The sequence below is a fragment of the Homo sapiens genome, chromosome 9 (genome assembly GCF_000001405.40).
Source record: "Homo sapiens chromosome 9, GRCh38.p14 Primary Assembly".
NCBI lineage: Eukaryota > Metazoa > Chordata > Mammalia > Primates > Hominidae > Homo > Homo sapiens.
Genome location: NC_000009.12, coordinates 75852836 through 75880728, shown reverse-complemented (window position 1 = coordinate 75880728; position 27893 = coordinate 75852836). Strand labels below are relative to the sequence as shown.

The following is a 27893-nucleotide window of genomic DNA, read 5'->3' as shown; positions in this document are numbered from 1 at the left end:
ACTTTCAGCTTTTCATCATATTTACTTCTCACAGTGACATGCCAAATAAGTAGAGACATTGTGATTATTTTAACACTGTCATAGCTATCAATATCAGGTTACAAATATGAGAAGTCGACAGTGAAATGATTCGTTCAGCTGCACACCAGTAGTGAGTGATGGGGCTTGAACTGGAACTCAAGTTTTCTGAAGCCTATATTTGTACTATTCCACCATTCCAGAGTTACAACAAAGTCTCTGCAAAGATAAGCCCCTGAAAATACGTACTTTTTTTTTTTTTTTTTTTTTTTTTGAGACGGAATTTCACTCTGTCACTCAGGCTGGAGTGCAGTGGCATGATCTTTGTTCACTGCGATCTCCGCCTCCCAGGTTGGAACGATTCTCCTGCCTCAGCCTCCTGAGTAGCTGGGATTACAGGTACACACCACCATGCCCAGCTAATTTTTGTATTTTCAGTAGCAACGGGTTTCACCATGTTGGCCAGGCTGGTCTCGAACTCCTAGCCTCAGGTGATTCACCCACCTCTGTCTCTCAAAGTGCTGGTATTACAGGTGTGAGCCACCGCACCCAGCTGAAGATATGTGGTTTTGTTTTATCCCTGCGCATATGCCAATCATTCATTCTGGAAAGTTCTTACAGTGTCAATTGAGGAGGAAGGACTGGAGGATTCAAAGCTGAGAGCCTTTCTTCAGGGCTTCCTGGGTCTGTCAGCGAGCAGCAGTTACTTTTCACCTCCTCCTCTCATCTCTCTTCACCTCAAAGTTCAGTCATTCCTCAGCTCTGTCCCTAGACGAATATCCAAATCAACACTACCCAGACATTTGTAGGATGAAAGTGAATGTTTGATTCATTGTGTCTAAAATGCTTTTCTCCTGTCCTGACCGAATTCAGAGGTTTTCTTTTCACTTGCTAATTATCCAGGTCCGACAAACTGTGGATGCAATTAATTGCAATATGCTGATTGTGATGAAATTCCAGTAGCTTTATGAGAAACAATAGCAAAGTCTGTTGGAATTCATTACAATAGACACTCTTACAAAGAATTCTCTTAAGATTCCCAGTAACATGTTTATTTTATGAGTGGTTTCTATTATCAGAGCTATTCTTACATGATGACAAAAGGTGCATTTTAAGAATTGGATCCTCCCCACCATCTCCACCACCACCACCACTACCACACACACACACACACACACACACACACACACAAACTCAGGCACACACAGGCACATCCCCAACACACATAATAGTCGGTAGAACTTTGAGACACACAGAAAAAGGTTCATGCAGACATAAATGGAAGGATTCAGGTGGCAGATGCCACAAGGAAAATTCATTATGGTTTAGAAGCTTTAACGGAAGATTTATGGCAAATTTAATTTCTTTAGCCTACATTAGCCCCATTTTTCTTCCAACACTTCCGTTGCTCCAAGTTTTCTATCCATCTGTATATTCATCACAGGTTGTCTTTCAACACTCTGATCTTCACTGGAATGAATAATAAAAAAATTAAAACAGTTTGAGAAAAGGAGAAATGTAGTGATATTTCTTTTCACTGCTGAAAAATAACGATTTTCATATATATGTACTCTTTTCTAGTATTGGTCTGAAAACAAACATATATTTATTAAGTTATAAACTTACCACAGATACACTTTTATATTCTGCATTTTTGAAGTAATATATGCTATAAATATGTCTCCATGGTCTTTGTAATTATCATTTTGATGACCATACGCCATTGGGTTGATGTATCATAATTTACTAAACTCTATTGTAAGATATGTAAATTGTTTCCAATTTATTATTGTGTATATAATACAGCAGAGAATGTCTTCATGAGTAAAGGTTGTGTGTGTTTTAATTTTTTTTCCTTAGGATGAATTCAAAACCTTCAGGTCTCTCAGGTTCCAAAAATTAGATAATAGTTTGCAGCCTCAAATTCTAGAGAGACCAGACAGGTAATTTAAACAAGTGAAGTGGGCCAATAAATATTGTGAACTGAATCACATCTTGTCTCAGCCCTGACCACGTTCCCTGAATCTACGGCCCTGTCTGCTAATCTTGCTGCCTCCATCTGTCCACCCATCCATCTGTCTATCCATCTGTCAGTCAGTCAGCCAATACTAGCTGGGTGCTATGATCAATGACTAATATAAAATTCACATTTTTCACAAAGCTTTAAGCTATTGGGTGAAACCCTTGAATTGATTTTTACAGTCATGTGCCACATCAGGATGTCAACAATGGACCATATATACGATGGAGATCCCATAAGATTATAGTACCATATTTTAATTGTACCTTTTGTATGTTTGTGGGTTTTTTTTTTTTTTTCAGAGTCTCCTTCTGTCACCCAGGCTGGAATGCAGTGGCATGATCTCAGTTCACTGCAATTTCCACCTCCCAGGTTCAAGCGATTCTCCTGACTCAGCCTCCCGAGTAGCTGGGACTACAGGCGCATGCCAATGCACCCAGACATTTGTAGGATGAAAATGAATGTTAGCTAATTAGCTAATTTTTGTATTTTTAGTAGCAATGGGGTTTTAGCTAATTAGCTAATTTTTGTATTTTTAGTAGCGATGGGGTTTCACCATGTTGGCCAGACTGGTTTCGAACTCCTGACCTCATGATCCACCTGCCTCAGACTCCCAAAGGTGCTTGGTGGGATTACAGGAGTGAGCCACTGTGCCTGGCCTTTTTTTTTTTTTTTTTTTCAGAGATGAGGTCTTGCTCCGTCAGTCAGGCTGGAGTGCAGTGGTGCAAACCTGGCTCACCACAAGCTTGACTTCTTGGACTTGCTTGAGTGATTCTCCTGCCTCAACCCCCCAAACAGCTGGGGCTATAGGCTCGTGCCACCACACCCGGCTAATTTTGATTTGATTTTATTTTTATTTATTTATTTAGAGACGGAGTTTTACTCTTGTTGCCCAGGCTGGAGTGCAATGGTGCGATCTCGGCTCACCATAACCTCCGCCTCCTGGGTTCAAGCGATTCTCCTGCCTCAGCCTCCCGAGTAGCTGGGATTACAGGCACCTGCCACCAGGCCTGGCTAATTTTGTATTCTTAGTAGAGATGAAGTCTCTCCATGTTGGTCAGGCTGGTCTTGAATTCCCGACCTCAGGTGATCCGCCCGCCTTGGCCTCCCAAAGTTCTGGGATTACAGGTGTGAGCCATCACACCCGGCTTTTTATATATATATATATTTTTTAAGAGATGGGGTTTTGCCATATTGCCCAAGCTGGTCTCAAATGCCTAAGCTTAGGCAATCCGCCCACCTCAGCTTCGGCAATCCGCCCACCTCAGCTTCCCAAAGTGCTGGGATTACAGGCGTGAGCCACTGCACCCAACCCTTTTTTATGTTTAGATACACAAATACACAATTGTGTTCCAATTGCCTACAGTACACAGTACAGTAACATGCTGTACAGGTGTGTGGCCTAGAATACCATATAACCTAGGTGTGTAGTAGGCTATACCATCTAGATTTGTGTAAGTACACTTTATGATGTCCATGTGATGACAACATAGCCTAAATATGCATTTTATAGACTGTATCCCTGTCATTAAGCGATGCATGACTGTATCTAATTTGTTTAACTGTTAACGTCAAGTGCTGACATTAAGAGAGAGGTGAAGCGATGTAGTGCTGCTGGAGTGGTCTAGGCAATTTCATGGAGGAAATAGAGCTTGAGATAAACTTGAAAGAATGGGCTGGGAGCTGAGTTTGAATAGAGTGAAAATATCATGATTCTAATACTTGGTAGACTTCTCAGTGCCCTTTATTAAGAATCTTGAGATTTTAGGTACTTTTTATACCTTTATTTTTAATTTATTTTTTTTGAGATAGGGTCTTGCTCTGTTGCCCAGGCTGGAGTGCAATGGCACGATTTTAGCTCACCACAGCCTCAGCCTCCTGGGCTCAAGCAATCCTCCCACCTCAGCCTCTCAAGTAGCTGGGACCACAGGCATGCGCCACCACACACAGCGAATTTTTGTATTTTTTGTAGAGATGGGGTTTTGCCATGTTGGCCAGGCTGGTCTTCAACTCCTGGGCTCAAGTGATCCTCCCATCTTGGCCTCCCAAAATGCCGGGAATACAAGCGTGAGCCACTGTGCCCAGCCCTTTTTATAACTTTAAACTAAAAGTAAAACTTTAGACAAATTAAATGTAACAGAGTTTAACTGAACAAAGAATGATTCTCAAATTGGGCAGTCCCCAAAACCAGAATAGATTGGGAGGGACTCCGGGACTGCCACACTGGTTGGATAGGATTTATTTTTATTTTTATTTTCATTTTTATTTTTTGAGACAGAGTTTCACTCTTGTTCCCAGGCTGGAGTGCAATGTGCGATCTTGGCTCACCACAACCTCCGCCTCCCGGGTTCAAGCGATTCTCCTGCCTCAGCCTCCTGAGTAGCTGGGATTACAGGCACACTCCACCACACCTGGCTAATTTTTTGTATTTTTAGTAGAGACAGGATTTCTCCATGTTTGTCAGGCTGGCCTCAAACCCCCTACCTCAGGTGATGCACCCGCCTCAGCCTCCCAAAGTGCTGGGATTATGGGTGTAAGCCATTGCACCCAGCCGGTTGGATAGGATTTATGGACAGAAAAGGAAAGTGATGTATAGAAAATGGAAGTGAGGTACAGAAACAACTGGATTGCCTACAGCTCAGTGTTTGCTTTCCTTGAATAGGTTTGAACAGTTGGCTGCTCGTGATTGACCGAAACTGGCTGCCATGACTGGCTGAGACTCAGCTACTTGTTACAAGAGTAGGTTGCAGCCTGTTTACACATCCAGTTAGTTGACAGTTCACTATGTATGCAGAAACCTTTAGGCCAAACCTAAAATATATAAGGATGCAGAATTAGGCTAAACTTAATTTAACAAACCATTCTCCAACTTTCCAGGTTGAAAAGTACCAAGGAATCCCTCTTCAACCAGAGAGAATCTTTATGACTTTGTGTTTTCCCTTAAGCTTAGAAGTCAATTCTGAGCATGGTGTGAAGGTTTGGACTGTTGATTAGAGAACAGTTGAAAGGGACCTGGAGAGGTTGCTCTGTTCCCTGAGATGTTTAAAATCCATTCAAAATAATCTCCTAGTCGTCAATATATTGGCTTGAGCAGGAAAATGCTATTACTATAAGCCTTCCATGCAAAGATTTTTGTCTGACATTGTCTGCCAAGAGGTTCTCCAAAATGCAGCTTTAAGCTTCTATAGTAACCAGAGATCAGGAGTATGTTTCCAATAAATTTAGGCATTCTGAACGACAGTTTTATAACTTAAAATTTGCTTGAAACACTGCAATCTAGTTGATAATACCAGAGGTGCTACTCAAATGAGACAGTCAACGAAGATCACCAATTTCCCTTCTGACAAAGAATGGCCATTGCTCCCATCCCTTCAGGTTTCATTCATGAGGTTTTCTCTTTAAATAGGAGACGACTAAAGTGTTCATTTCTCTTCTTTTACTCTTCCCCTTTTTTTCTGTTTAAAGTCTTTGATACTTCTTGCCTGCAACTTTAATTATTTAATTTTTTCACTGCATTATTTAAAGAAAAGACAGTTCTGAGACTGAAGTATGCATGAAGACAGTATGACTCCATGCAAAATTGAAGAAATCTGCGTAACACTGCACCACAGCAGATAATTTAGTACAGAATACATTGCAATCTCTACTCCTGTCTTACCTTAATATATATATTTCTGCAAATGTGGACTAAATGACCATTTTGCGGCTGGGTGCGGTGGCTCACACCTGCAATCCCAGCACGTTGGGAGACCGAGGTGGGCGGATCACGAGGTCAGGAGTTCGAGACCAACCTGGTCAATACGGTGAAACATCATCTCTACTAAAAATGCAAAAATTAGTCCCAGCTACTCAGGAGGCTGAGGCAGAAGAATCGCTTGAACCTGTGAGGCAGATGCTGCAATGAGCTGAGATATTGTCCTTGCACTCCAGCCTGGGCAACAGAGCAAGACTTCATAAAAAAAAAAAAATTAAAAAGACCATTTTGCTTAATGGTATCAGATACATATCAATTAAGAAAAGACCTTCAGGAGCTTGAAGAAAGGCATTATATGTGAAGGCATATCATTATTTTTTGTTAAAAGCATTTAGAAATGGGTCAAAGTAAAGACAAGACTAGAAATGCTTATCACAGCATTTGAACATAAAATTTTCCTCCCAACCTACAAATGGAATAACAGTAGCACTGGAACACAAGTACAATTTGTAAGAATGCATGATTCTTTTACACTGATGACACATTCTTCAATCAAAAATTTAATTACCTCAAAAGTAGAGATAGATGTACTTTATTTTCCTAATTTTTTTCTATACTTTTATTTATCCTAAATCTTTTTTTATTTTTAATGCCTGTGGGCACATAGTAGGTATATATCTTTATGGGGTACATGAGATGCTTTGATATAGGCAGGCAATGTGAAATAATCACATCATGGAGAATGGGATATCCATCCTTTCAAGCACTTATCCTTTGGGTTACAAACAATCCAAGTACACTCTTTTAGTTATTTTAAAATGTAGAATTAAGTTAGTATTGACTGTAGTTGCCCTGTTATCCTATCAAATAGTAGGCCTTATTTATTCTATTTTTTTTTGTACCCATTGATATGGTTTGGATTTGTGTCCTCATCCAAATCACCTACTGAATTGTAATCCCCAGTGTTGGAGGTGGGGCCTGGTGGGAGGTGATTAGATCATGAGGGGAGATTTCTCAGGAATGGCTTAGCACCACCCACCTTGGTACTGTCCTCCTGACAGTGAGTTCTTGCAAAATCTGGTTATTTAAAACTGTGTGGCACTTCCCCCTTTGCTCTCTCTTCCTCCTGCTCTGGCCATGTCATGGGCCTGCTCCCCCTTCGCTAAGCAGGTTGCCACTATGCTTTCTGTACAACCTGCAGAACTATGAGCCAATTAAATCTGTTTTCTTTACAAATTGCTCAGTCTCAGGTATCTCTTCATAGCAGTGTGAAAATGGACTAATACACCCATTAACCATCCTCACCTCCAGCCCCCGACTACCCTTCCCAGCCTCTGGTAACTATCCTTCTACTCTCTATGTCCATGTTTTCAACTGTTCTGGTTTTTAGATCCCACAAATAAGTGAAAACATGCAATGTTTGTCTTTCTGTGCCTGGCTTATTTCACTTAACATAATGGCCACCAGTTCCATCTATGTTGTTACAAATGACCGGATCTCATTCTTTTTATGGCTGAATAGTACTCCAGCGTGTATATGCACCACATTTTCTTTATCCATTCATCTGTTGACGGACACTTATGTTGTTCCAAATGTTAGCTATTGTGAATAGTGCTGTAACAAACACAGGAGTGCAGATATCTCTTTAATATATTGTTTTCCCTACTTTTGAGTATATACCCAGCAGTGGGATTGCTGGATCATATGGTGCCTCCATTTTTAGTTTTTTGAGGAACCTCCAAACTGCTCTTCATAGTGGTTGTACTCATTTACTTTCCCACCAACAGTGTACAAAGGTTCTCTTTCTTCCACATCCTCACCAGCATTTGTTACTGCCTGTCTTTTGGATAAAAGCCATTTTAACTGAGGTAAGATGATATCTCATTGTAGTTTTGATTTGCAGTTCTCTGATGATCAGTGATGTTCAGCACCTTTTCATATGCCTGTTGCCATTTGTATGTCTTCTTCTGAGAAATGTCTATTCAGATCTTTTGCCTATTTTTGATTGGATTATTCAATGTTTTTCTTATAGAGTTGTTTGAGCTCCTTAATATTCTGGTTGTTAATCCCTTGTGAGAGGGATCATTTGCAAATATTTTCTCCCATTCTGTACGGTGTCTCTTCACTTTGTCGACTGTTTCCTTTACTGTTTAGAAGCTTTTTAACTTGATGTGATCCCGTTGGTCCATTTTTGCTTTGGTGGCCTATGCTTGTGGGTATTGCTCAAGAAAGATAGATGTACTTTAAAAAATCATTTTCTGATTGGAACAGTACAAGTTTATTGTGGAAAACAATAATATAAATAAAAATATTTCATAATCTCCCAAATAACAAAACTCTACTCACCATCTTGGTGTATTTTTTTTTTAATTCTCTTTCTCTCTGTTGGCATTATACAAATTATATCTATCTATATATTTATATGTATAAATACATAAATAAAAATATAAAATATATACATAAACATGCATACATATATACGTGTATGTCTGTATGTACATACATATGCACATATATACATGCATATAGTTTTATTCTATTCTAATATTTTAGTTATGCTCACTTATATATTTCAAATATATTATTTCTATTTTCCTACTTATTTCTAAGTATGTGTTTTCATGGCTGCAAAAGAGTCTATCATATGAATGTACTATACACACATACAAATTCATTATATATACACACATATACAGTCACGTATCACTTAATGACAGTGATACATTCTGAGAAATGCATCATTAGGCAATTTTGTCATTGTGTGAACATCACAGAGTGCATTTCCACAAACCTAGATGGTACAGCCTACTCTACTACACACCTAGACACAGCCAACTGCTCCTAGGCTACAAATCTGTACAGCATGTTACTATACTGAATACTGTAGGCAATTGAAACACAATGTTTATGTATATATTTTATATTTTTATTTATAGCATTGACATATCTAAACATAGAAAAGGTAATGCATTGAGCTACGACGTTGCCAAGGCCATGATGTCACTAGGCAATAGGAATTTTTCAGCTCCATTATAATCTTATGGAACCACTGTCGCATATGTGGGCTGTCGTTGACAGAAATATCATTATGTAGTGTATGACTGTATAACCATTACTCCATTATTGGAAATATAAACAGCTTACAATTGGAGTACATATTACAGATAATGCTGTATCAGCATCTAGAAAGAGGCCCACCTTTTGGTCATAAGATAGCAGAGTTAAATGATTTTCACAGAGTAAGTTTCATAAAGTTCCAGAATGACTTAATAGGTTTCCTGAAATTTCCTTGTATAACTTTTGAGATAATCCACTCTACATGAAAATCACATTATTGTAAAAAACACTATAATGAACGTATATTGCATAGTATTCACACCATGAACACGGAAATAACACTGCTAGGCTCAAATTCAAGATTTACTGCTTTTTGTGTGATCTTACATAAATTCCTTAACTTTTTTCTGTCCATCTCTATTTTTAAAATGAGTGTAATTCTAGGATGTACTTATAAATATATTGTGAAGATTAAAAAAGTTATGAAGAGGGATTTAGCATGTTACTTCACACAGTTTTGTAATAAAATTACACGCAAATGTTATTTTTATTAATATCTTAGTCTACGAAATATTATACACCAAAATACCTCTGAATACCATCAAGTAGCAAGTGTTACTTTACTTTCTCCCTGCAAATATTCTAAAGGCTTTTAATTGGATTCCATGTCAAAAGAAAAAAAACTCAACTTTTGGTTAATCTAACTGATTGTGTTAGTGTGCTATCTCTATCATTTATCTACTTTTTTATGTAGTAACACAAATAGTCTAATAGATCCATTGCATTATATTGTGCAGAGACTATGATACTGAGTTACCCTTGGTAGAACATGCCTTCTGATTTGCCCAGATTCTCATACCTATACCCCTTCTACACAGTATCTACTGAGAATTTTTCTATCTGGGCTATGAATCTAAGACATAAGAGTTGGTGCAGGCTGTCAAAGAGGTACAGATGAGTAGACCTGCTATTACTTTGTGACTCAATTCATTTTGGAAATTCTGTCTGGGAATCAGAGTGGCTGACTGTAATTAGGCGTCAGAAGTGATGCTACATGGCCCCCCTTAGGACAGCTAACTGAATAGAGCAATTTCAACCAATGAGCATATAGGCATTTAACATGCTTTAGAGATTAGGAGCTTCATAGGGTTCTTCTCATTGCCTGGAATATACTTCAACCTCCACATCATCATTTGGTGATGAATCTTCAAAATTCAGCTCAGGGTATCTGCTCTGGCAAAAGGTGTTTCCCAAAGCATATGCCACCCTTGCCCACAACAGTCACAAACTGCACTGTAGCCAACTCTATGCTTTTCCTTCCTGCCTCTTTCATCTACCTACCTACCTACCTACCTACCTACACACACACATACTGAACTTAAAACTCTCGAAAACAAATACCATGTCTAATTCTATTTTCTATCCTAAGCAGCAAACATGAGTTGGGTACCTAATATCTGCTTATTGAATGAAAAATACTGTAGTCTACCATTTCTGGTATGGAGTGATAGTTCATATCATTTCAATGCCAGGAAATATGCTCATCGATTAGTAATATTGACAGAGATTAAAATGCATGTGTCTTCTGAAGTACTTATGAATGGAATGATATACCCAGGGTTTGCCTCAATATATTCCAGCTTCTTTGGGGGGATAGTGACAGAAATTATAGGTACTGATGAAAAAAATTGGCCACATATTGATAATTGGTGAAGTTAGGTTATGAACAAGGAGGAGATAAATGTACTATTCTCTCTAAATTGTGGTATATTTGAGAACTTTCATAATACAAAGTAAATACACATACACAATCACAAAATGGAAAATAAAAACACACAACCAAAGAACATTGACTTTATAATGTTAGCATCTTAGAAAAGGGTGGACATTGGTGGATTTTTATAGCACAACTGTTATGTTTAGGGGCATACGATTTGAACCAGGCTTCATGTATAGTTTGTTCTGCTATGAAAGTCTAACTACTACTGTACTTCAGCCAAAACTGGTGGGATTACAAGAGCTAGATGGATAAAAGTCTCCTTTATACAAGGATCCAAAGGCAGACATTTAACCAAAAATAAAAAGAAAGAGAAACAAACTATGGGCTTCAGAAAGAAAAAGAAACAAACTATAAGCTTCAAACGTTTAAAATCTGGCCAATAAAACTCATCTGCAAAGTCCTGGGAGATGGCAGCATGACTGAGGTGGTAGCGTATATGTTTATGTTGGCTGTTTCATTCCCCTACACACCTTAGACATCTCTAATTAATCCCTTTGGAGCAGTGGTGGCTGGAATTCATAGCTCACGGTCTTGTCCCATGCCAGCCAAATGTAATCCTGAGACACTGCACCCACATGTTAAGGGACATTATTGCCCTTCAGATTTAAGAATAACTGCTTGATTAGGCCTAGAGTGCTCAACCCTGGCTAACCATTAACATCAATTCAATCAGAAAGTAGGAACTGGGTATAGACGTTTTAAGAGTTGCCCCAAATGATTCTGCTTTTGTAGACAAATACCCTAAAAGCTGTAAGACAGCAATCTCAACCACAGAAAGATGTCATGAGTATTGAGAAATGAGAAGAGGACATTTTGCAACGAGATGCTGTGGTGTGCTGGCCAGATACTCCCCCTTCACCCTTTCAGGACCAAGGCACTCATTCTTTGAGCTTCTGTAGGCTTTTTTTTCACACCTGAATCCCTTCTGAGAATTGCCTCAACCCAAGGAAGCTGCCTCACTCAAGGTTGCATGCCTCCTCCTGCAGTGGTCCACATCCAACAACCATACAAGTAAAAATGCCCAGCCTCCTTGCCTCAATTTGGGACACTTTTTTTTTTTTTTTTGAGATGTAATTTTGCTCTTGTCCCCCAGGCTGGAGTGCAGTGATGTGATCTCAACTCCCTGCAACCTCTGCCTCCCAGGTTCAAGCGATTCTCCTGCCTCAGCCTCCTGAGCAGCTGGGATTACAGGCATGTGCCGCCACACCCGGTTAATTTTGTATTTTTTTTTTTTTTTTTTTTTTAGTAAAGACAAGGTTTCACCATGTTGGCCAAGCTGGTCTCGAACTCCTGACCTCAGGTGATCTGCCCAACTTGGCCTCCCAAAGTGCTGGGATTACAGATGTGAGCCACCATGCCTGGCCTATGCAATTTGGGACACATCTCACGGGCCATCCCTGCTTCAGAGCTCCCCATGGGTTCAGCTAATTTTCTTCTGCAACTGTATCACAGGTCAACTTTTTCTCTGCCCAGTCCTCTGGAAGGGCCTCTGCTTCTCATTCTTTCCCAATTTGCTTACCAAGCATGTTTCTCCATAGCATTTCCCAGTAAACCAGCTGCCTAGAAATCTCCTCTCAGAGGCTACTTCCCAGGAAATCTAACCTAAGATAATCACAAGGGCTTTCCTGGGATCCTGCTTAGCTTTAGTGCTTATCCACCTGCATTTCTCAAGTGGGAATAAGAAACCCCAGTATTTGTTTTGCTAAAATTGATTATTTACACCATCAACTCAGAACTACATTAGAGCTGCTTTTCCAATAGAGCTGCGTTTCCAAAAATCTCATCATTTTTACTAATCATAAAAGATGGAAAACTTGAGGCTATCACCCATAATTAATTAGTGCATCAAAAACATTAAGTATGAGAAACATTTATCTACATTTTCCAAATCAGTAAAAATAATTGTAAAAAATTATGACTGTTCTTTCTCTCAGATGTCTCCAGAATCATTTAGTGATATCTGGGTCTTCTTTGGGCTGTTCAACTTCCTCTTCCTCTAATGGGTATCCCTCAAGGGTCTCTGATGTTGCCTTGTTCTTTTCCTAAATTGGCTCATTTCCTGGATTTTCTTTGCCTCCTGGTCAATACAGGCAAGATGGCAGCTTTTACTGGAAGGCTTGTTGGGAGTAGATCTTTTGGTTCATAGAAACCTAAAGAGTTATCCACGGGAGACAGTTGTGTCTGAGTGTGTCTCATGTCAATAGACTTTGATGTTATTCAAGCAGAAACTTCTGACTTGTGGGTTAGAGGTTGTATGTTAGACTTAGAGATCAGGTGCACAGGCAGGGTGAGGGGTATATTTGGGAATCCAAGAATTAGTGTCTTTCTCCCTACTCTGTAGTGACTAAAATCTACATGGAGCAGAGCACAGTTTACTTGGCTGGGTTGTTGGTGGCTCTCTTTACCAGTTTATGAAATCTAAGTTTGTCATTTTTGCTTTGATGAATGACTATCAATTTGTACCCAGTCATGAAACAAACAGAACTGTGACTTGTGCTTTACAATTTGGGTAGGCAACTTACTTTGCTGTAGACCTTTGCTAGTCAATTTGTGATTTGTGAATCAATAGCATTGACCTGAGGCCGGGCGCAGTGGCTCATGCCTGTAATCCCAGCACTTTGGGAAGCCGAGGTGGGTGGATCACGAGGTAAAGAGATGGAGACCATCCTGGCCAACACGGTGAAACTCCGTCTTTACTGAAAATACAAAAATTAGCTGGGCGTGTTGGCGCGTGCCTGTAGTCTCAGCTACTTGGGAGGCTGAGGCAGGAGAATCGCTTGAACCTGGGATACAGAGGTTGCAGTGAGCCAAGATCACACCACTACTCTCCAGCCTAGGTGGCAGAGCGAGACTCTGTCTCAAACAAAAAACGAAAAACAAAAAAACCCAGCATTGACCTGAGAGCTTATGAGAAGTGCACAATTTTGGCTCCTGGCTCTAACCCATGGCTACTAAATCAGAATGTGCTACTAAACAAGATTATTTCATACTTCTAGGAGGGTCCCAAGTGATATTGATGCTACTGATCCACAGAACACATTTCAGGAAGTAAGGCTGCAGATAGTTTTATCGTATTTCCAGTAGTTGCAATGGTTACCCTTATAGGAAGCTGGGTTGTGGCTGTGTCCGCCTGTATCTCCCAGTGCTGTGTTTAAAGCCCTACTCATTGTCACAACAAGCCAAGTGAGCGAGAATTAGACAGAAAGCAGTACCCAAGGATGATAGATGGTGGCTGTTCCCAGAGAAATGAAGAGAGTCCTTGTTGTATGGGTAGAACTGCTCTCCGATGTGGGGATGCAGCTTAGAGCCCAGCTCTGGGAAATGGCTAATTATCTCGTTGAGAAAGCCCACCAAGAAGCAGCTTTCACATGGAGGAAAATGTTGCCTGGACAGAGAATGGCCTCTCCACCGGCTCTGTTCAGAGGAAGCAGAAAGGAGAGACTTTGACTGGAAATCACACCAGTAAGGGCATTTCTTAAACTTTTGAAAATATAAGGGAAAAGCCCTTCCCTGGGAAATTGGAGACTTGGATACTGGGTCTGTCTCAATCACCAACAAGATATAAACACCAATACATTACCTATACTCTGGGTTTCACTTATTTCATCTGTAAAATGAGGGTTTCTAAGAATTTACCCAGCTCTTTAGCACCTAAGAACTCAAAAGCCCTAGAATTGGCTGCAAAATCTGCTCTTGCCACAAGAGGGAGTCATTTTTCTGAGATAATAGAAATTCTATGCATAGTCTTAATGAAAAGATTTAGGCAAACATTAGCATTTGAGCACCCAGAACTAAATGGCCTTTCATAAATAATTTTAAAAGATTAAAAGGCTTATTAACTTTTTTCACTTACATTAAATTGTGACTAATTCTTTGCTTGAACAAGCAAAAAAAAAAAAAGACGATTGAGAAAGATCAATAGAGCAAACGAAAACATTGATTATCTACAAATATAACAAAGAAGGTCTTGACTTTCCTCCAAAGATTCCTAGGAATTCAAGCCTGTTCAGTGTTTCTCTTATTTTTTTGCACATTGTCAAATCCTGGGGGTTTCCTGACCCTTTGGTAGAGAGTTTTGTGTCTAAGAATTAACATTAGACTCAAGGTGTGTCTAACTGACAACAAATGATTCTGGAAGAGAATAAACTGGTACATAAGGAAATGGGAGGCACTGTTTGTAGGATTCCAAACATCTGTATGAGAAGTGAAACATTCCATCCAGAGTCAACATGTTGCCTCTACAAAAGATGTTTTTCAGATACTGTACCTTCATGTTAGGTGTCATGTGAGCTCAGCACTGAGCTAAGGAGCTGTGATCGCTTCATTTGTCCCAGATCACCCAGACCCCCTTACTGTAACTGATCTCACCATGGTTCTTTCTTCTTTCCTCTATCTTTCCATGTTGTGAAAGGGAGTTTTCCAGGCTGAGGGTGGTTGGCCTGTCTGCCGCAGGTAGAGTAAAGAAAATGGGATGTGAACTATGAGTGAAGGCTGGGAGAAGAGGAAGCACTGGTTGACTTTTGGTGGGCAACCTGAAAGAGAGCTGTGAATGACATCTCTCCTCCCTGCTCCTAACTAGAGAGTGTGTCTCAGAGAACTGTGCCATTTAAGAGCCGGAAGGCACTCTCAAAGCCACCTGGTTCAATATTTCCCAAAGAGGAGCATTTTCTGTTCATACAATAGGATATTATTTTAGCTTATGCATAGACATAGAAGCAACATTGACTCACAGAGGGAGAATCTAATCCCTCCTAATGGCCTCAAGGAATATGCCTTCTTCTTATCCTGTGATGTTTCTAAAACCCCTCTATCGGTTACCAATTTCTCATTTTTGACAAAAAAAAAAAGGTTTTACCATAAAAAAATCAGAGCAGTCACCAGGCAACACTATCTAGCTAGAATATAATAGTATTGCTTGATTTGTTGCATTGATTTTTATGACTATGTGCTATTTATAACAATGATATTGGTTTCTCTATCCATAATGCCATCACATTTGCTTTTTAAGTAAAAAAGTGAATTGACTTAAAGAAAAATGTTAGGTAAGTAATAGTACAAGCGGTACACAGATAAGTCAGAAAATGTGCAGATGGTACCAGCAGGTAGAGTTATTGACAATAAGCCCATAGCTCTGTCTTCTGACTTGATAACTTTTCACACATGTTGTGTATCTGGTTCTATAGTGGGATTGACCACTAATGAGTTACTTTAATCAGGCTGACACAGAAAAACAAATGCGCTCTAATCTCCTTTCAACTGGTCAAGTTTTAACTTTATTAGGTATATTAAATAACTCATATTGCTCCTTTGGGACACACAGAAAAAGGGGGAAAATTCCTTTTGTGCCAAACAGTACAGTTCTATGTTAAATCCCATTGCAGCCCACAGGCAAAATCCCATAGCTGCCAATGCCATATCAAAGAAGGTTCTCTATTTCCCTATCCCTGTAGCTCAGAGTTAATAACACTTGGTTTACCTAATTACAACAAATTTTTTCCAATAATAATCCTTACAACTAGTGCTTTCTCTGGCCCTGGGCCAGTCACTCAATAAAGCAAAGACCTAACTGTTATTTCCTTTAGGCAGGAAATCCTTTTTCTGTAACCTCAGACATTTCTTATAACTTTATTTGTATGTTTATCATCAATCAGTACAATCAGACTCCTTGAATTATGTGAGCTCCATGAAGGCAGGGGTCTCATCTGTTTCGTTGACTGCTGTGTTTTCAATGCTTGGAACAGTGCCTGCTCTTCGATAAACGTTTGTTGATTAACGGACAGATTAATTAACTGCACTGGTGGGAACAAGTCTTGATTTGGGGGAATTGCTTGTTTATGTAAAGCCAACTGGAACAGCTGTTCTGTGTAGGTGCACATCACAGAGGCAGCTTTCATCTTAAAGAGGAAGATAAAGAACACACCAGTGATGGAAGTTATGCTCAGCTTGGGAAATCACAGATTTTAAAAAGTGCCAGAGGTTATCTGTTTTTATTGAACATTGGAACCTTCCCAGCTGGTAAAATGCCTAATAATTGTTCAAGGTCATCAGGAAAGTAGATCGTTTGGCGACTCATTGTCGCCAACAGGTAAGTTTTCTTCTTGGGAAATAACACAGGGTTTTCAAAGTCTCCTGAGGTTATTATGATTTTTGGTTTTAAATAAACATTCAGTTGGTTTGATGTGCACTTTGGATTTCATGTTTCTAACAGAAATAGTTCACGTTAGTTCAGTGAAAAATATAAAATCAACAGGAAAATTCAGGATTTTGGACAGAATTGTTGGTTTAGAAGAGATTGGTTCCTTGAGTCTTGCCTGTAGCCACAACACTTCATTTTCTTAACATATTTCCTAGGTGGAAAGCACTGGGAATACAATGTGTAACCCCTACCCTCCAGGAGTATTATCACAGCCTAAGGGGAAGACAAACAGGTGAGCGGGTAACTACAATTCACGGTAACTACAATTCATGGTAACTACAATTCATGTGTGTCATAGGTCCTATCAGGGAAGAAAGTGAATGTTGCTAGTGGAGCATGCAGGAGGGGCAGTAACCCAGTCTTTCTGTGTATGGTGGGGGTAAGAGCGCCAGGAAGAGCTTCTGAGAAGAGGTTACTAATCTAAAGTTAGTAAGTACTTGTAGGACATGGCCAGGTAAAGATTAAATGTTCTACCAAGAAAGAAGAAGATGCAGCCGGGCGCGGTGGCTCACGCCTGTAATCCCAGCACTTTGGGAGGCCGAGGCAGGCAGATCACGAGGTGAGGAGATCGAGACCATCTTGGCTAACACGGTGAAACCCCGTCTCTACTAAAAATACAAAAAAATTAGCCAGGTGTGGTGGCGGGCACCTGTAGTCCCAGCTACTCGGGAGGCTGAGGCAGGAGAATGGCGTGAACCCGGGAGGCGGAGCTTGCAGTGAGCCGAGATTGCGCCACTGCACTCCAGCCTGGGCAACAGAGCAAGACTCCGTCAAAAAAAAAAAAAAAAAAAAAGAGAGAAAGAAGATGCTTCCCTTATAAGGTCTTATTTTTCATACTTAAGGATAACTTCTAATTTGCTATGCATTCTGTTTCTCTCAATAGTCTTGATGTATCATTACAAAAGAAGGAGAAGGTGGTGATGAACTTCTGCCCATAACCATGTAAGAATGTCATCTGACCTGCTGCTTCAAGGCTAAGAGAGTGATAGTGCCTGTGCCTTCTCTGTTATTCCAATGAAACCATCTGCTCTCTTGGTTCCCAGGCCTTGCCACTGGCTTCCCTGTTCTCCTGCTTGCAGACAGCATATCACAGGACTTCTCAGATTCCATAATCTGTGAACCAATGTCCATAATAAATCCTCTTTCAGGTATACCTCTTAGTGTATGTCCTGTTGGTTCTGTTTCTCTGAAGAACCCTTACTAATACACTGCCTTTCTAGACATATCTGCTGTCCCTTCTTTCTCTCCCTAACCTCTACTTACCCACAGTACATACACACTCTTTAATCCATCCAAGTTGATTTAATTTCATTCTCTGAATGGATCCTGCTATTTTACATTGCTGAAACTTAGCACATGCCGCTCCTCTGCCTCAAATATTCTGTGATCCTTGTGGGGGCGGGGGTAAAGATTACTTAGCCTTACAATTTCAGTGAGGCTTGTCTTTGAGGAGTCTTCCTGCACAAAGAATCTGATAGAAATGCCTCTCCTCTGGTCTTTAGTAGTAGCGTGTTTCTGTGTCCTAGGACTTATTGCACTCTTGGTCTGTTTCCCTCACTAGGTTTGAGTTCCTTGGGGAATGAGCCACGTTTTAATTCACCTGAGGCAGGCCCTAGTGAATTAGCAATGCACTATAGTTGTGTAAATGTCATCATGGAGGTAAGGTGAGGGAAGAGTATATGTGAAGCCTTTGTACTATTTTTTTTAATTTCTTGTAAGTCTCAAACAACTTCAAATGGAAAATATTTTTAAAATGAATTTTGTCATGGGTTAAAACCCTGTATCAAATATATAAATCTAGGGGAAACAACAATTCCATGTAGCATTTCATTTTCTGTAATTTAAAAAAATTAAAATCAGATGTCATATTTCCTCCCAAAGGAGAATGGATAGGGACTTCCAAAAGTCTCTTAGCAAAACTTAGAATGCATTTTGGTCATTGTCACTCAACCTTCCCCTTCACCTGCCAGACAGAGACTTCTGTAAATTTCTTATCCAAAGACAGCCTATGATTAAAAAAAAAAAAAAAAAAGGGCTTCTCTCTCTTGTCATCTGACAACAAGAACCAGGTTCTAAAAACATGTGCACTCTCAAAACTGAACATTGCTGTGTACTGTGGAAGCCCTTGGCAGCATTAGCTTTGATGGTGTCTAGAGGGGTGAAGCATTTGCAAGTTTTCCATTTATCACCCAGACATCCAGCCCCAGGGCTACCTCAGGGTCCTGGCCAAACTTCACTTTTGCTAATTTATTATAGTTTGTACTTTTAAGTGCCTGGGGACAACTACAAACTTGTTTGAGGTGAGATAAGTCTCCTGAACTTACACCAGTGGCCCTACTGGGTCGCAGGCCCAAGAGATAATCAAGGTAAAGTGAATTCCCATCTTTCAATCCATTCAGTTTACTAGACGACAGTATTTAGTTGGCAATTATGTATCTAAGACTGGTATTAGTGATAAAATAATAACAATTTATTGTAGTTTACACATGTAAGTATCTGGCGGGGACTGTAAAGTGGTTTGAAGAGAGACCATCAAGTAGAAGTGAGTTCTCATCCATCAATTCATTCTGCTCCTTTGACAGTAGTATCTTTCAAGCAAAACAACAATTGGTTGGCAATCACCTTTGTTTCCCCAGAGTCATTCATGTAGTAGGCATTCATTATTTGCTAAATGAATACATGGCTGCTCTGTTGGTTTCCTAGGCTTTTGAAAGTTCTTCCTACCTTATTCTCTTCCCTGTCCCTGGTTGACTTCCCATCTACATGAACCCTATTCCCATTTATTTTCTCTTTATTCCTAGAGCTTTGACACATGCCACTTGAGGTGACCTAACAACATCCACTTAGTTAGCTTGATAGATTCTTATTCACATCCTTAGTCTGAATAGCAGGGCATACTCAGGCACCCAACATGTCCACAGAGAGAAGAGGGAGATGGTGTCACCAAAAGGAAAAGCTGCAATTGCCAGCCTATAGATGCCACTGATTACCACACCAGAGCCAAGAAACTTCACATCTTTGGACTCTGTTTTCTCATCCATAGAAGGGGAATACAATATTAATGTTTTTCAACATATCTAGCTTTATGAAGCTAACAGGATTATTTAATATCTCTGTTCCAATAGTAGCAGAGTATAACAAATAGTAATTTTTAAAAAGAGCACTCTCAAGTTAACAAAATTTTCAACTGAATTTTGGTAAGAATTTTGGAAGATAAGACTCCTTATGATGTTATTATTAAAGAATAAGAAAAGAGGAGGGGAAAAAACCTCTTGGCAACATATATGGAACATTAATTCACTCTCTTGCCACTCACAGGGTGCCTGGTGATATGGCAGCAAAATCAAGAGCTCGCTTTCCTGGAGCTTAATTTCTGAGGATGTAAGGAGTTGAAGAGACATAAACCTTGCCAGAGGGTGCTAAGCACTATGGGGGTAGTCACCATCATTATCATCATCCCTGTGTTTGCACCACAGCTACAGCTTCCAAAGCACTTTCCCACTCATTATTTCATTTGTTCTTCACATAATAGGGAGGACAGACATTTTGTAGACAGGAAAATGGAATCTCAGAGAGGTCAAGCTCAGGACGCAACCTTATGCACGCAAGCAGTTTGGTGGGTAAGGACAAGGTTTGGGCATCAGAAACACTAGTGCCCCAAGAAAGATCTGATAAGAAATGAAGAAGTCATTATTGCTCATGCATTGACAAGTTGATTGTATTTCAAGTGGAGTCCAGGCCACAGTCGAGCAATTATTTACACTTTTCCACGTACCTCAAATTGATAAGAAGGAAAATGTTCACATGGAAGGAGTTTCAGGAATGAGCAGCAGGTAAGAAGAGGATTTTTTTGGGGTGGAAAGATATTAAACTCAAACTCAATCTCTCCTTGGGAGCCTGGAGGGACACCTCCAAGAAAATCCTCTGAGGTAGGGTAGAGCCAAAGAGTTCCAGAGGTGATCTTCTGACTCTATATCCTCAAACTCCCTCACTACCCTGGGAAACCCCCTGAAGAGAGCTGCTGTTTTGTTCCCTGAAACTTCTGGGTTTGGAAGAGCCTGTATTCCTTCAACACAGCTTCTTCATCTCCTAATTTCTAGTGCCTGAAAGGGTATGCAATCAATGAATATTCATGGACCAGTTAGACAAGAAAATGATTTTAATAATATAAAAATTATTTTACATGAAAATCCATCCCTGTGCTGCCTATATTATTTCTGTATTTATTTGCAAAATTTCTGTCAATAAGAAGGTTTCACTAGAACACATTCTCTGTTAATAGAAAGGTTTTCCTTTAGTTTTGGAAAACAAATAGAGCTTGGTGATGGCAGGAAACCTCTTGCTACTGAATTATGTGTGCCCAGCTGTTCGTTAAGGTAGATAATGCCACTCTTTTAACATGCTGGTGTTGGAGCTTTGCAGACCCATCTTAGTTGGCTTAAAGGTAGAACAAATAGCTATTGAAATTAAAGGTGACAACTTGTGACCCCAAGACCTGTCTGAAGTCCAGAACCAGATATATTATGACAGTGGTATATTTTATTTCCTTAAAATTTAACAAATACATTTCACTTTAATTCAGGTAATACTTTTTGAGTCCCTCTATATGCCAGGCTTGTTGAAAGAGTTGAATTTGTTTGGAAGTGTAATGTAGGAAACTTACATGAGGGCCATTTGCAGGATAGGAGAACAAATGAAGACCCTGACATTTAGACTACCTTTATCCTTCTTTGGATCACTCCATATTAGAAAAGTGACTCTCTGGATAGGTATTATCACTAATTTGCATGTATAAAAATAGTTTATGTTTACTGTTGCCTATGTTTTGTGCTGATTTAGTTAATAAAGAAACACAGAAAGGAAACTAAGTTGTCAATAAAATTCCAGCAAGGAGAAGTAAGGGCAATATCAGGTTAGCTGTTGTCTCTTTAATACATAGTAGTGTCAAGGGAGAAGAAAAAAATCCCTTGTGACACATATCTATACTCATTTTTGTTGTTGCGAATATGATTGTAATTAGGGCTACTTGTCTGTCTTTCCTGACATCTCTTGGGGAGATGACAGTGTGTTTTGCATAATGTTACAGTAGGTGAAACCATGGTTTAGCAAAATGATTTTCTCAGGGCATTGAGGCCCATGATTGAATGAATGGGTAGTGGGGTTGTTGACTTTCTAAAATTGACCCTTCCCTTCCGGCTGGCATGTTTCAGAGTGGTTGTTATCTGGGAGTGACCTATTCATGTATGAAAGGGTGAGGTCATTGGGAAGCCCCCACCCTTCCTATACTTACAATGCTGAGACCTTTTATACCAACGTCAGATGCCAAAACCCAGCCAGGGGTGGAGTCCACCAGCCACACTTGAACCAAGAGGTTAGCCTTCTTAAGAAAGTTGATTTCCATGATCAGAAAGACAGCATGTGGGAGACTAGCTTGGATAAGAAAAATTACAAATGTAAAGAATTTTTGAATAAATGAGAAAGTGAGGGGTCATCCAAATCAACCCAATTGTGTAGCCATGGAATAAAGTTTAAAAGGTTTGTGACCTTTTTTTTTCTATTTTAACCAATATCCAACAATGGGGAAAATAAGATTGTTTTAAAGAAGCTAAAGATTAAATGCAATAATCATGAGCTTTTCATGATACAGCAATTTCCCATTTTGGCTCACAAACTTATATAATACAAGCAAGTTTTTCCCCACTTCTAATCTCCAAATTCTTCTCTTTATGTCCCCAGAAAAAGGAAAAAAAAAAAGAAATTTGAGGGTATTTTTTCTCCTGCTTCTATTTAGCATTAGTAGTCCCTGATGCATCCTCAATACATATGTCTGGCACAAAGCAAGTGATCAATACATGTTTCTGAATGAATGAATGAATGACTTAAAAGTTGACTCCTTTGTGCTAGGCATTTGAGGGCCATCAAGATGAATTCACCAGAGTTCTTGTTTCCATTGAAGTTACAGGTTGATAGAGGAAATAATATACCGGGAGATTAGTTGCATGCAAAGTAGAAAGTGCTATAATAACTTAGCCTTATGCTTATTTGAACATCTATTATGTGTTATGTGCTTTACATATAATTTGTTTATTACTAAAACCTCCCTGAAATGGCAGGAATTATCATCTTCATTTTTATAGTGACAAAACTGAGGGCTGTATAGGTCAAGTACTTTCCCTAAAGTCACAGAGCTGGACAGAAGTAAAAACAGAATTTGAATTAGATCTGTTATTTGCCAAGGATACTAAGTCACCTTTCATAAACTTCTCTGGAATAAAAAAAAATAATGATATTAACAGCTAATGCTTATAGCACTTATAGTTTACATATATCAACCCATTTAACCTGCGCAACAACCCAAATTGATAGATACTATTACTATCATCCTTATTTTACAGATAGGAGCAAAAACTAACCAGAGTATATTCATGAAGCACAAGCATTTGAAGTAAATTTTAAAATATAAGTAGGATCTGGGTATTTAGGAGTAAAATAAGCGTCAAAAATGGCGAAAAGCTTGAGATTTTACCTATCTGGAAGCTAACAAGTTAGCCTGCTCCTTTCATGTGATGTTGTAAGAAGACATGAGGCTCCTGGAAAGAAAGAATAGTTTATTATTCACTGCAAAAGCAGTAGTTAGAGTATCAGCATTTTAAAATATTCATTCTCTGAGTTCTAATTCCCACAGGGAAATGTAAACAGGGCCAGATAATACCTGCACATGCAGGGGGTTTTGTTAGAGGAGAGAAACCTTGAGTTTAGGGAAACTAAATCTTTTACAAGGGGCAGTAGATGCCTTTGCTCTTGAGGAAGACACAATCTCTATCTTCCAAGGCTTGCTATACAAATATCTTTGAAAAACAGTCTAGATTTAGAATAAAGACCAGTCTGTCACAAATGCTGTTCACAAAACATGTGGAAACATGAGAAACCCATGGAGAAATGTGTCCCAACCATAGGTTAGGGAAAAATAATTCCCAGGAGAAAGGCCAAGATGACCAAAGAGCAGAAAGAGGAATGTATGGGCAAGTGGTAGGCAGTTAAGTGCCTTGAAGGATGGGGTCAAGAAAAAAGTGGTCAGAAATATAATTGGAGGCCAAAGAAGATCTTTAAAACTTGGGAGAAAGAATCTTAAACCTTTTTTTCTTCTGCACTCGTCTTACTACTAATGATGCCAACAAATTCACCCTTTTATTGGTAGATCTGGGCTCTGATTCACTGAGCAGGAAATCCTTCCAAAGATATCTCTCTTTTAAGGCAAAACTTACTTCCTCCTGTGAGACAGGAGACAGTTTTGTAGGATTTGAGATTGTCCTCCCCTAGTAAAAGTCATGTCCACCTTCCATTGGACGAAAGTGTGGTTGTGAAAAATTGAAACGAGTCTTAGTGGATTATAAACCCATGTACACTTGCTTCTCTTCCTGGGTAATGGCAGTGGGAGACACAATTCAGTCTATAGCATTAGAATTTAATCCTCAATCAATTCCAAAAGGTCTTGATATCCTTATACAGATGAGGAAACTGGCTTAGAGAGGTTCAGTGAGCTGTGCAAAGTCATAAAGTAAAACAGCCGGAGATTGAAACCAATTTCTGGCTTCAAAGCCTGATTTATTTTCAACATCACAGGCTGCCTGGCAGTGGCCATTTGGTAAGACCTCCTGCATATTGAGCACTTACTGAGTGTTAACAACTTTGTCAAGGACTTTACAACATTATTTTTTTAACCCCTCAACAATGAAGAGAAGTATTTTACACTCATTTCACAGGTGAGAAGATGTGACACAGAGAAGTTAAATGACTTACTAAAGAGCACAGTTAGGAACTAGAATGATCAAAAATTCAAATCCAGATTAATCTTATTTCAATGCCAGTATTTTTGTTCTGTTTCTCTACAGTGCATTCTTGGGATTGGTCAATTACTTACTAATCAATAATTTAATAGGAATGCATTATTAACCGGAGTGTTCAGACTTTCTGAAACCATGAAAATTTCCTAAGATGGGAAAAACATCCACAGAAGATTGATCAAACTGTAAAGTTTTAATATATATAAAGGTAAATGACATCAAAATCAAGTTTATGTTGGTTTGTGTCTGAAATTTCATATTAAAGGGAAGCCATTATGAATTGTAATCATATGGAAGAAATATTACATTTCTGTTGGGCCCTGCGGGTAGGAGAGTTTCAGTGAAATGTCTTTTGTTTCAAAGTTGTAGCTGGTCTAGCTAAAGTTATGTTTTCCACCCAAAGGTGGCAGCACACGTATTATTGGTTTTTGGTGCGCTTTTGATTACATTTAACGTAATGGAGTCTTTGAGAGCTTCAAGGCACCTTAAACATCATCTAGAACAGCCATGTCATTTTGAATCTGGGGAAACTGAGGCTGAGAAAGATTCTGTGACCGGCCCAGTATCTTACACCTTTTTAGAGCCACAGCCCAAGCAGAATCTAAGTTACCTGACTCAGATCTATGTTCACTAAAGTGAGCTCTTATCGACTTTCTAACAAATTCACAGCTGAGAGGTGAAGATGAGAGGGTAAACTCCATTTATGGAGGAAACAAAGAAAGGAAGAAGAAGGAGAAAAGAAAAAGAAAGACAGGCATTGGACTCAGGAAAAAAATACTTGATGTAAATATAAAGTCTTGAAGCATGCTATGACTTCATAAAAACTTCAAAAGCCCAACTGCAGTTGCAAAATAAATGGTGTGTTCTAGGGAGCAGTCTGGAATCCCACGCTGTATACAACATCCAGTCTACTGGGGCCAGATATACCAAGTCAGCAGCATCTGGGACCTTGTTAGAAATGTTAAGATTTCAGCCCTCTTTTCTCCAGAATTGCAGAATCAGAATCTGCATTTTATAAGATTCCAGGGAGATTGATTCATTGGCACATTAAGATTGGAGAAACACTGGTCTAGAGTCTAGGTTCTAGACTACAGCATGGTTCTTAAAAGGGTGGTCGCTGAACTAGCAGCCTCAGAATCTCCTGGGAACTTGTTAGAAATGCAAATTATCAAGCCCCAGTGCTGGCCAACTCTGGGTGAGGCCCAGCAATCTGTTACAGGTGATTCCTGTAATTCCTCCAAGTGATTCTGCTGCACTATAAAGCTAAAGTTGGAGAAGCACTACTCTGAACTTTGCTGACTAGTTTTTGCCCCAAGAAGGCTGCATCTCTGCTAAACTCTGCTAAACTTTCTCTGAATTGTTGTCTACCTCAGATGTCATCTCCCTCTTCCTTCCTTCTGCATGACTGAATGGTTTACAGCAGACCTGCTCAAATGTCTTGGCTTCTATTTGCTAATTATATATAATATATTTGATAAGCAACCAGTTTCTTGCTAAGGCACTACTAGGAGCCATTGGCTAGTTAGGGAGATGCCAGTGCCTGAAATGGGATCACTCACACTTTCAGAATTTACCAACGAGGAGGTTGTGATGAGATTTCTCATCAGTTTGTTCCGGCTACAGTCCTATTTTCATAGACAGAGATGGATGCATGGGCCTGTTTGTGTACACTTCAGGAGCCTGTGAGTTGACCAAAAGTCATAAGCCTTCTCTAATACGATATTTAACTTGGGTGCATTTACAGAAGCATTTGAAAGAATATACTAACAGCTACTCTCCAATAGGAGAATACTGAGATGGAGAGCTTCCTCAAGGCAACCGGACCCTCACAACTTTATCCATTCTGCAGATATATTTTGGAGCACAGACAGAACTATCCCAGAAAATGGGGCCCAAAACAATTTAAATGGAATAAATTCTACCTATATAATAAGACCACAAGGCCTTTAGCATGGAAATTTTTATGAAGCAGAACTCTCCAAAGCCCAGCACTGGAGACCTTCATGTACTAACCAGCTTAATGGTAAAGAAGAAATAAGGGGGTAAGGCAGAGTGGGTTTTTGTTTGCTTTTTATGTTGTTATTGTTCAATAACTAGGTGTTATGAAAAGACTCAAACAGATGTTAAATTTTTTTAAAAAAGTATTTTGTCTCCCAGAACATGTCACTTAATTTTTTTATTCCTTCATTTGTGAAATGAAGCTATAATTGCCCTGCCTACATCATCCAGATGTGATAGAATCAAGTGTAAAATAATTTTGTAAATATGCTTTTACATATATGTGTAAAATATACCAAGAAAGGTTACCTTTATTATAAAATTATCACCAAATATTATTACTTTCTCTACCTGGAAATTTTCAGAGCTTCTTTTTCTTTTTCTCTTCACAACTAAGAAGCGCAGTGGTTTGCAGTGTAAACTAGAGCAGGCATCAGCGAGCTTTTCGGTAAAGTGGCAGATATTAAACATTTTTGGCTTTGCAGGCCATACAGTTGCAACTATTCAACTCTGTTATTGTAGCCAGAAAGCAACTATGGGCACTACGTACACAAATAGACGTGGTTATGTTTCGGTAAAACTTTATTTATAAAAACTGGTAGCAGGCAGAATTTGACCCTATAGTTTGCCCACTCCTGACCTAGAGTATTGGCTTTAGTTTGCATCTATTTAAGGAGCCTCTGCAGTACTTGGAAGTCCAGAAACAAATGAGAGAAAAAGTAGAGATACTTCTTTTTTTCTTTTCTTTTCTTTCTTTTTTTTTTTTTTTTTTTTTTTTTTTGAGACAGAGTCTCATTCTGTCACCCAGGCTGGAGTGCAATGGTGGGATCTTGGCTCACTGCAACCTCCACTCCGCCGGGTTCCAGCAATTCTCCTGCCTCAGCCTTCTGAGTAGCTGGGATTACAGACACCCACCACCACATCCAGCTAATTTTTGTATTTTTAGTAGAGACGGGGTTTCACTATGTTGGCCAGGCTGGTCTTGAACTCCTGACCTCAAACGATCTCCCACCCTTGCCTCCCAAAGTGCTGGGATTGCAGGCATGAGCCACTGTGCCTGGTGAGATATTTCTTAATGTGGTATTTAGGAAGAGGGAAGGAAAGTTTTTAGCATAGACGCTCTTGAGAATTCTATTCAAATTAGCAATTTGTTGCAGTATCTACTGTGAGTCAAGCACTGGGCTGGACTGTGGGGATATAATGTTGAGTAACAGCCCTTACCTCTCAGGACGTTTGCAGTCTAGATGATAGTTGAGACACCACTGCTGGGAATACTTGTATTGGAC

General features: G+C 39.4%; 1 long non-coding RNA gene across 1 annotated transcript, besides 1 other annotated feature; it reads right to left on the bottom strand.

The window, feature by feature from the left end:
• Nucleotides 1–1206: 1206 nt before the first annotated feature.
• Nucleotides 1207–27893, bottom strand: LOC105376091 (uncharacterized). The gene is made up of 3 exons (XR_929952.2): nt 27829–27893; nt 23292–23355; nt 1207–1488 (listed from the first exon to the last, which is right to left on the bottom strand). It is a non-coding gene; the product is annotated as an uncharacterized LOC105376091 (long non-coding RNA).
• Nucleotides 2815–2864: a silencer, noted in NCBI's record as "silent region_19956". NCBI's record gives its function as "represses an Ori minimal core promoter by ATAC-STARR-seq in GM12878 lymphoblastoid cells {active_cell/tissue: GM12878}" and the evidence as "EXISTENCE:reporter gene assay evidence [ECO:0000049][PMID:35858748]".